Raw genomic sequence first — 10886 nt, forward strand, 5'->3', positions numbered from 1 at the left:
CTCAGAGGATGATTTTCTGGGCTGTGTATAACTTGACAGCATCTCTGCGAGCCCATTAGTCACCTTACAAAATTGCATGAACTCTTTTTGGATCCCTGGGGTAGCTAAAACTTAGCAATAAATGAATGGATTATGCTTCATACAATCATATTTTTAAGCTATATATTAACAATCAAGACTGTTGAACAGTTTTTGGCTTTTGAGATTACAGTCACAGTTATTACTCTATAAGACTCTCTTTTTACAGATTCAAAAGATTTTATAGACAAATGAAGACTGAATTGGCCTCCAAGTTTTACTTGAGGAAATCCAGGCTATAGATCAATTCAGACCTTGATGAAGGTCACACAGCGTGGTTTCAGTGCAGCAGGAATTGGACTCACAGTCCCCCACGCTTTCCTCTCACTGCCAATTGTCAGGTTTCAGCCAATTCTTAATTTTTCACTGGCCAGAAAGTCAGGCCATTACCTTCCATCACATGATTGCCACCTAGTGGCGACAGTGGTCATTGATGCTTATGCAGTGACTGGACTCAAAGGCCAGAAAAGAAATAGAATAAAAATTAAATCATCTTTAAAATGTATTGAGAGTCTACTATTCTGTTAGGTGCTTTATTTATTTCATTTAATCCTCTAAACATTATAAACTAGGAATTTTTATCCAAGAAGAAATGAAGCTGAGAGAGATGAAGAAACTTGCCCAAATTCAGGCTGCCTCTATCAGTGGGGCAGGAACTGGATCTTCTTCCCTGGACCTTAGTCCCTGTCCTGTAACTTTGACCTACATATGGTTGGACTCTCCTAGATCTTAGCAGTCCTTTCTGATCTGTGATATTCCTCAGGCTGCAGTGACTGGCTCAGAGAAAGCCAGTAAGACCCACTGACACTTTCACTAATACAGTCCAGGAAGAGGCAGGTACTATTTTCCACTCACACAGATAATGGTAAAAACAGTGTGAGCCTGGAAGCTGTCTAAGCTCTGCAAAGCGGAGCTGGGAATCAAGTCACCATAGAGCAAGAAAAGCTGAGATAGAGAGAAACTGAACCTGGTGACATCCCTTGTGCCCCCAATTCCAGTTGTGTTTGAAGCCATGTGTACTGCTGGGTGTTTCAGTTATGAGCCAATAAATGCCTTTATAATAATAAATGTTAGTGTGATATGAGGTTTCTGAATTTGTACTAAAAAGTCCTGACTAATACCAAGGATTGGTCCTTTTTCGGTTCCTTCTTTTTTCCTACTTTCAGCTGTCAACAAATCAACATTTGCATTGTGCCTATGCTTACAAGGCATAGGTCTGTTTTCCAAAACCTGTTGTCCTATTCTTGGAGTTGTAATACTTAAGTGAAAACATTATTTCAAAATATTTAAATATAATTTTTAAATAATTAAAATTTGGTTCTATATAAAAAAATCAAATGCCTTGAAAAATATTTGATTTCTCATCCTAAGTATCATCTCCACTAGAGCAATCAGGAAGTTTACAGTCTAAAGCAATTATTCTTTCATTAAGGCAAGAATTCAATAGAGCTTTGGGGCTTGTGAGAGAGTCTAGCCATCTGTCCAGGATTCACGTCATTATGGTTGGAGGAGTGTGGTGGGCTTTGTCAAATGAGATGTATTCCCTTGAGAATATCATGCATTTATTCCAGGCAAGGTCAAGACGTATGAATATTTTGGGAAAGGTAGCCCTACAAATCAATATTTTTAAAGAAAATATTTGTTATATATTTTTGGATAATGGGAAAAAATAATTTCTTAAAATTATTTATTGCTTTCTTAATGTTCAGAATAAGAAATTTATTACATGCAATTTTCTAAACCAGACAACTTCTTGGGAAGTGAATTGTTTACTATTTCAGTGACAAAACCAATAACTTGATGCCAGAAAACAGTACCACGCTTACAGTTTGTTTTCCCAATGTTATTGCCTACCCACTTTTAGAGACTTTCCTAGTTGGCTTGAGGATTTGTTTGCTAGTGGCCTGGCTGATAGCCCTCCCAAGCAACATTCAAATACCTATCACAAAACTATTTACCAAAGATGTTTCGGCTCAGCAAAGGAAGTTTTTAGTTGTTTGCTTGTTACTATTTGAGGCTTCCGTGTCAATGAAAGGCATTTTGCAAGTAATGTATAAAACCATGAATAGACCCTGGCTACTATTTTTACTAATGTGATGGTTAATACTAAGTGTCAACTTGATTGGATTGAGGGATACAAAGTATTGCTCCTGGGTGTGTCTGTGAGGGTGCTGCCACAGGAGATTAATATTCCAGTCAGTGGGCTGGGAAAGGCAGACCCACCCTTAATCTGGGTGAGCACAATCTAATCAGCTGCCAGCTCAGCTAAAGTATAAGAAGACAGAAAAATTTGAAGAGAGACTGGCCTAGCCTCGCAGCCTACATCTTTCTCTTGTGGTGGCTGCTTCCTGCCCTTGCACATCAGACTCCAAGTTCTTCAGTTTTAGAAATCGGACTGGCTATCCTTGCTCCTCAGCCTGCAGATGGCCTATGGTGGGACCTTGTGATCATGTGAGTTAACACTTAATAAACTCTCCTTTGTATATATCTCTATTCCATTAGTTCTGTCCCTCTAGAGACCCCTGACCAATACAACAGATTTATCGCAGTGATGTTTTAAAACTATTTTAAAGATTATTGACCAAGGCAGCTCTGTCTTGCTGGCTTCTCCCCTCCCTACAGTGCTCCAGATTTTCAAGTTGTTCTCTGAGAAGCCTCAGGAGGAACCAGAAGAAAGGTTCGAGTGAGGGTCTGTCTACCATTACAACTAACCGTTCCCTCCGTTCTTCCCATAAAACCAGAACAGCTTTGCTCTGAGCTCTTTTTCTGTGTATTAGACTCCTTAAAAGATTTTCTTTCACCAATTCGCAATTGTCTGTTTAAAAGCGACTACCTTCTCAGACTTATGCTAAGGCATTGTGATATTCTACTGAACAAAAAAAGGCACGCACGCTACATTTATGTTGTAGTGGAGGAAATAGTCAATATACAAATAAACAAGAATACACAAGATCATACTGATGGAAGTGAGTTGATAAAGAGGATAAAGTGATAGTGTGATAAACAGTGCTGAAGGGGGCATACAACATTAGAAAAGGTGATGAGAAAATGCCTTGCTGAGAAAGCAATATTTAAATAATTTATTTGATCCATTAGAAGAGTTTAACCAAAGCCGGGACCATGGCTTATGCTTATAATTCCAGCACTTTGGAAGGCCAAGGCAGGAGAATTGCTTGAGGCCAGGGGTTCAAGGCCAGCCTGGGCAACATAGGGAGACCCTGTCTCTACCAAAAAAAAAAAAAAAAAAAAAAAAAAAAAAAAAAGTAGGGCATGGTAGCACATGCCTGTGCTCTCAACTATTCAAAAGGCTGAGGTGGAAGGATCCCTTGAGCCCAGGAGTTTAAGGCTGTAATTGCACCACTGCACTCCAGCCAGGGTGACAGAGTGAGACACCCGTCTCTTAAAAAAAGGGGGAGAGTGAAACAGGAGTAATATGACCCAACATTTTAAAAATCATTTTTGTGTACCTGGTAGAAGGAGTCACAAGGGAGTGAAAGCAGAATAGCCAGTAGGAGGCAATTGAGATCATCCTGGCAAGAAATCATGGCGGTTGGGATTAAGATACTAGCAGTGGGGGCCGGGCGCGGTGACTCTGGCCTGCAATCCCAGCACTTTGGGAGGCCGAGGCGGGTGGATCACGAGGTCAGGAGATCGAGGCCATCCTGGCTAACACGGTGAAACCCCGTCTCTACTAAAAATACAAAAAAAAAAAAAAAAAAAAAAATGAGCCTGGCGCAGTGGCGGGCGCCTGTAGTCCCAGCTACTGGGGAGGCTGAGGCAGGAGAATGGCGTGAACCTGGGAGGCGGAGCTTGCAGTGAGCAGAGATGGGGCCGCTGCCCTCCAGCCTGGGCGACACAGCGAGACTCTGTCTCAAAAAAAAAAAGATACTAGCAGTGGGGATACAGAGAAATGGATACTTCTGGGCGCATTTCACAGGATGACAGAACTTACTGAGGATTTGGAAACAATGCATGAAGTAAAGAAAGGAAACAAGGATAACTCCCAATTTTTCTGGTTTTGAGCAGTTGGATGAATGGTGATGCCTTTTACTAAGATAAGAAACACAGGGAAAGAAACAAGAGTGAGTGGAGACTGTAGAAATAAGGTTTTATTTGGATAGTTTTGGTTTTAAATACCTTATTTAAGCCAAGATGCACAGTAAGCAGTTTTATGTGGAGATGGGAACACAAGAGAAGAGATCAGTCCGTTTAGATCTAGTTGAGAGTCCTAGATCCGAATCACTGGGGAGAAAGAAATCATGAAGACATGGACCCGAGGTTATGTTCCAGGCATTCAAACAATTAAAGTTTGAGCAGAGAAAGGGGAGGTAAGATCACACAAAAATCTAAGAAAATTGATGGATTCTGCTGAAAACAACTCCCACCTCCCAAAAGAGAAAATAAATCTGCAACAATTATCATGGATGTTACCAGCACCAAGCCTCAGGAGTACTCAAAATCTGTTTGGGCAGAAGCAGGAAATCTTGGCCAGTGATTCAAGAAGGATACCAGGAGACTTCAGTGAAGTCTGGTGCTTTTAAGGCTTCAAAGATTATAATAGCTAATTTAGGAAGAACAATCCCATCCCTTAAATGCTATACTCCAGAAAAAATCATGCCATGACCTTGGGTGCCACAGCTATGGCTCATAGTTTGTTTACATTCACATGGTCATCATTCTCAATGGATGCCTCCACACTATGGTGGCTAGATCAGAAAGGCTGTCACCGAGCAATGGCCTCACTGGCCGACACATAGAAGCCAATAATATGGCACTGGCTTTTGGAAAAAGAAAAAAAAAGTTGTATTGCAAGTTGACTGGCAAGGAGACAAGAGCCAAAACCCAAATCTTTCTCCCGCTCTGGAGGTGGGGTAAGCTTTTATAGCGTCTCTAACTAGTCCCAGATGATTCCAGTATAGCTAATCTGCCATGCTGGTGGTGTTAACAACTAGAAGGTTAAAGCTGTCTCTCATTCCACATGCCAGGGCTACATGACTTTCAGTCTTGGCTCTGTGCCACCTGTAACAACTTAAACAATGGTTCATAGGTTTAAGCTGGTTCTGCAGTTACAAGGCCAGACTCAGCTACTCTATTCAAAACTGACTCCTCTTCCATGTCAAACAAGGAGTTCCCTATTGAGCACAGATTAGTAGTTCAGAAAACCCTATGATGAATTCTTCAGGAGCCCCACTCAAATTTCCCGCCAGAGAAGCTCAATTGGAATCATTAGCCATCCATAAGATAAAGTTGAATAATATTCCACCACAATAAGGAAAGAATAAGGACTTCTCCATCCTTTTATGCCCAGAAAATTCTTTGTGCCAAAGAAATTTGTAAATATGCACAAATTTTCTAATTACTAGATCTGCATCCCAAGAAGTACTAGAAAAGGCAGATTTAAAGGGTAAGACCGCAGAGGAGTTTACCGAACCCTTTCCGTATGTCAGTGGGAACCTTCTTTCCTAATACAGTCAATCCTCATTGTTCCCAGATTTCATATTTGTGAATTTTCTACTGGATAACATTTATTTGTAACCCCAAAATCAGTACTCCTGGACCTTTCTCAGTCATTCACAGATATGCCCAGAGCAGCAAACACGTGAGTCACATGTTTCAGCTGAGAACAAACAAGGCAGTACTGTGCCTTCTTGTCTCAGTTCTTATACTGAAAATAAGTGTCCTTTTTGCATCCTATTTGGTGTCACATTTTTTCATTTTTGTGCCTTTTCTTGGTGATTTTGCTGTTTATAATGCCCCTCAAACACAGTGATGAAGTTCTGTCTAGCATTGCTAAGCACAAGAAGACTATGATGTAGCTTATGGAGAAAAAAATGTTGGATAAACTTCAGGCATGAGTCATAGAGTTATTGGCTATGAGTTCAATGTTACTGAATCAATATATATTAAATAAGTTGTCTTTAAACAGAAACACACATAAAAGAACAGCATGTATTGGTCACTTTGCAAAAATGTTTTGACCAGACTCTCAGGGATCTAATCCTGTATTTCTCCTAGAAGCAATGGTTCGGTATTTGGTAATTCAGTATTTGTGGTGACTTCAGAAAACATAGCTACCACAAGTAACAAGAATTAACTGTGTTTATATTATCAAAGGGACACCACTCCACTGAATTTCCCAAAGGAAGACACCTGTATCAAAGTGACAGAGGTCTCCATCCTAATGAAGGCAGAAATGTACCTGAGAACCTTCAAATGGCAGATTCTCTTCCTTATGAAAAGACAAAAACAAAACATCAACAAACAGAAAAATCAACAAAACAAACATTTAAAGCATTGCTTAACTAGTCTCACGCCTATCCTCCTCAGGAAATATACGTGTGTGTGTGTGTGTATGTGTGTATTGTGTATACATATATAAACACACACAATACATACACATAAGAAAAATATAATCTAATATACTATATATTATACTGTGAATAATATATAAAAGAGAAAAAATATACTTTTATAAAAGAAAAAACTAAACACCAACTCCACAGTAAAATTAATAGTACTTGGAACAAATTCTGACGAATCATAAAAATATTAGTGTAGTATACTGAAACCAAGAAATCACAGAGATATAGAGATAGTTATTTTGATACTTAATGTATTAAGAATTAAAACTAAACATAACCCAGATATTAATATATCACTATACTCCTAACCCACATAATTATGTAAAACATTTTCTTAGAATGAGGTATAAAATAGTTCATATTTTTTATTTATTCCCTGGAAGTATTAGTAGGAGATTATTAAATAATGGTACAAACACATGCTCAATTGTTATATAACTATTCATAATCATATTTTAGATGAATATTTAATAAGGGAAGATGTTGACTCTACAACGAATCTATAAAATCATATGCACAGTATGATCACAATTTTTAAAAAGTTATGTATAAATGTCGCAAATATCATAAGGCAAGCCTACAATATTTGAAGATGCAGACCTCGGCTATGACATTAAAGGTAATTTTTGCTTTGTACTGTTCTGAATTTTCTACATTTCTACAACTGTTATTACACTATATAATAAAAAACTATCATTAATTATGATTGCTATAATTTAACAGTTTCGGGGGTTTTTTGAGAGATGGTCTTACTCTGTCACCCAGGCTGGAGTGCAGTGGCATGGTCATGACTCACTGCAGCCTCGACCTTCCCGGGTTCAGGTGATCTTCCCACCTCACCCTCCTGAGTAGCTGGGACTACAGGTGCGCACCACCATGCCTGGATAATTTTTGTATTTTTTGCGAAGATAGAGTCTCACTATGTTTCCCAGGCTGACCTCAAACTCCTGGGCCCAGTGATCTGCTCAGCATGGCCTCCCAAAGTACTGGGATTACAGGCGTGAGTCCCTGTACCCAACCAATTGAACGGATTTTATTGTTCAAGCCTAGAAAGCATTCACAGTTACTTTTATATACAAAGCTACATTTTTATCATTTGACATCTCAAATAATTGATGTTTCTTTAAGTTTTACAAAATCTGAATGAAATGCAACAAGTCACCATCAATAAATGGCATTTTCTAATAGTTAATGATAACATGAACAACTCTGCAGATAAAACAAAAACTCTTCTTGGTTAGAAGCGAGTTGCAATTTTCATGCAGAAAATACATCTTTCCACTGCTGAACATCAAAATAATCTTGTCTTCCTGGTGTACCTTGCCTCTGGCAGACAGAGGAAGGAGACTACCAGATTGCCAAGTAACAGGGAAATACTGGGAGTAGTTAACCTTCTTAGCATATATCATAAATCATGATATTAATGGAAAGGAATAAAATAATAAGCAGATAAAGAGAAAATGGTCTAGACTCATATGGCATGAAGATAAATACCTGCACTAAATTATACAATATCTCAGTATCCAGAACATACCCAGTAGCAAATGGTCTTCATCAGTTGTATGAATGATGTCAATAGGCTAAACAATGTTATTTTTAATAAGGAAATGGCACATATTTTGGCATCTGTTTGAAACTCAGTTGAGCCTCATGCAGAACATTAAAAAAAATTCCTAGTTAATACTAAGCCCTCATTTTTATATTAATTATAAATGCATTAATATGTAAACTTTAGTGTCAATGTTTTAAGCAATAAACTTTAAGATCCTCTGGGTTCATTTCAAGTTTTTAAAAAATAAGCATGGGCTATCTTTCTCTCATTCTTTATTTATAAAAAGTTCATCTAAGAGTTGTAAACCAATCAGTTCTTGCCCATGGATTTTTATTTCTCTGCTACCATTTGTTCATATATGTGCTCTCTGTTTTTGTTTTTCTCTTTAATGGTCTCTGTATGTTGCATTTGTTTTCCCCTTTAGGACTGGTTTTGTCCAATGGATATCCCAGAGACAATTCTGACTCAGCAGGCCTCTGAGTCAGAATTCCGAGGGACTGCAGAAGATAAGAGACCGGCTATTTAGACAGCCTTCAAACACAGATATCATGTGCAGCTTCGAGTGTCCACCTGGCAGTACCTGGTACCATCTTGAAGTAAGATCATAAGGCCAGAGAAAGCAAAAGTAATCACACAGCTTCAAGCTGTAGGGCACCAACACTGCTCTTTCTTGCTCCCACAGTCCCAGGCTTTATCTAGGATCCAGGATCAAGGGTAAAAGACTAGATAACATTGGACTTAATTATATCTTCACACTCATTTTTCAATCCTTTGGGAAAAGGACTGTAGCCATAGAAATAAGTCTGTCAATTGGAAGTATTTGTGCTCTCCGTCCTGGATTTACTAGTTCAGTGATGAACATTAGTAACTGGCATGACTTCTGTGGTGCTGGAGGGAGAAGAGGAGGAGACACATGCACTCATTAGGAGCCCCAGTACTCCTTATACCTAGCCTGTGGTTACTAAACTTTCTGAAACTAAGGTAAGTGATTGTCCTGGGGAAGCAGTAAGTAGCAGTGCCCAACCAAAATCTCAGTCAGGCAGAAGACAACTCTTAGGAAGACGGTGTTTGTACTAGATTTTCAGCTTTGTTTGGGAAAATGTTTATAAACTTTTATAAATGTCTGCATTGACCAACGTTTCTTCTAGGCTGAGGCAGGAGAATCACTTGAGCCCGGGAGGCAGAGGTTGCAGTGAGCCGAGATTGCACCATTGCTCTCCTGCTCTCCAGCCTGGGCGAAAAGACAACTCTTTTTTTGAGATAACTCTGTCTCAAAAAAAAAAAAAGAAAGAAAGAAAGAAAGAAAAGAAAAAATAAGATTGATCTCTAAAATTTTTTTCTTTTCATTTCATTTTAGTTTTAAACTTTCTCGTGTTTTATTTTTAATATGAATTTTAGAATTACCATAAAGAGAAAATATCTCTGTTCAGACTTCAAATACTAGGACAATAATGTCACTTACTTCATTAAGACCAGGATATTTTAACCCCAGCAAAACCGGCAAAGAACCAACAGATTTGCTATGTATGGCCTCTATTGATATGATAAGTAATGCCTTTTTATACTTGAAGAGTCATCAATCATCTTCGGCCTAGAAAAAGTGAAGAAAGGAAAAAAAAGGTCCTGAAGAAATGGTTAAAAAGATTGTTCAAGGCAAATATATATTTAAAAAATATAAGGTTATGGAGAGTTTTACTGAACTCCACGAACTTGGGAACTGGCAAACCATTTTTACTTCTGTATAAGGCACATTCAGGGAACAAATTAGACATTTGTTGAGAAGCTGCAAGACAGGTTAATTAACTTTCTTTTATAGAACAAAAGGCTACCATTTAATGTGAAATCCTCAGGAGGCTACTCTGAATTGAGTGATTCAGGCAGTAAGATTTATTCCGTTTGAATTCCATTCGCGTTTATTGATTCCTTCATCTAAGAAATAAACAATCAAGAAAAAAACATGAAGCAGCTGTAGAGACAGCAACCCGGGTCTTCCAGACTTTACTCTAAATCACAAGAAAGGATGTGGTCTAAATTGCTTCCATTCATATATGCTTCTAGGCTGTTCCTTATGTGAAAAATTACTTATCTTCCAACTTCTTCTTTCATTAAGCTAAGACGGAAGCCTAGTAGCTAGCAATAAAGAACATTGCACTAAACAATTGGAAAAAGATCTTTCCTAGGAGACTAAATGAAAATATGTTGGAAAATATGTTGGAAAAATTTTAGCATCAGCATGAGTTGAGAATGATGTTCTTTTTATCTATGAGATGTTTTTTGGGGGGCTATGCAGACCTGGAGTGCTAGCACTTGCTGGAAATCATAGCTGTAGGGAAGACAGCTATGATTAATGATTCCACAGCACCCCAGGTATATGGAACATAAAATTCATTTGCATTTCCATTTACATAACAAAATATATCTAGTAATAAACAATGCCTTCAACCTTGATCTTTTCCTAAACTAATCCTATTCATTAATCAAACTAAACCATTATTCTAACCCCAAAGGCTTAATATACTGCAAAACATTGCCAGATACAGTGAGGAAGAGTTGATTTGTGATTGTGGTGATAAAAAGAAGAATGGGCTTTTGTTTCCTTTATTTTTTCCGAAGCTTGCTGTTTAAAACACACCTAAAATTCATAATTTAAAACCTTCAATTTCTTCAGTGCGTGATATCTGTTTGTCATTCAAATAGCTACTCTTATGCAAAGGGCCACACATCATAGAAACTGTAGAGGAAAGCCAGTGTTTCCATTTATAAACATGTGAAGACAGATGAGGGGCTGGGAGTCCACCTGGGAATAGAATAACCTAGTATAGAACACGTAAGAAATCTCACTCTGGCTGCAGCCCAAAGGTCTCTGAAATCTTCAATCACATTTTCTTGGCTGA

The sequence above is a fragment of the Homo sapiens genome, chromosome 6 (genome assembly GCF_000001405.40).
Source record: "Homo sapiens chromosome 6, GRCh38.p14 Primary Assembly".
NCBI lineage: Eukaryota > Metazoa > Chordata > Mammalia > Primates > Hominidae > Homo > Homo sapiens.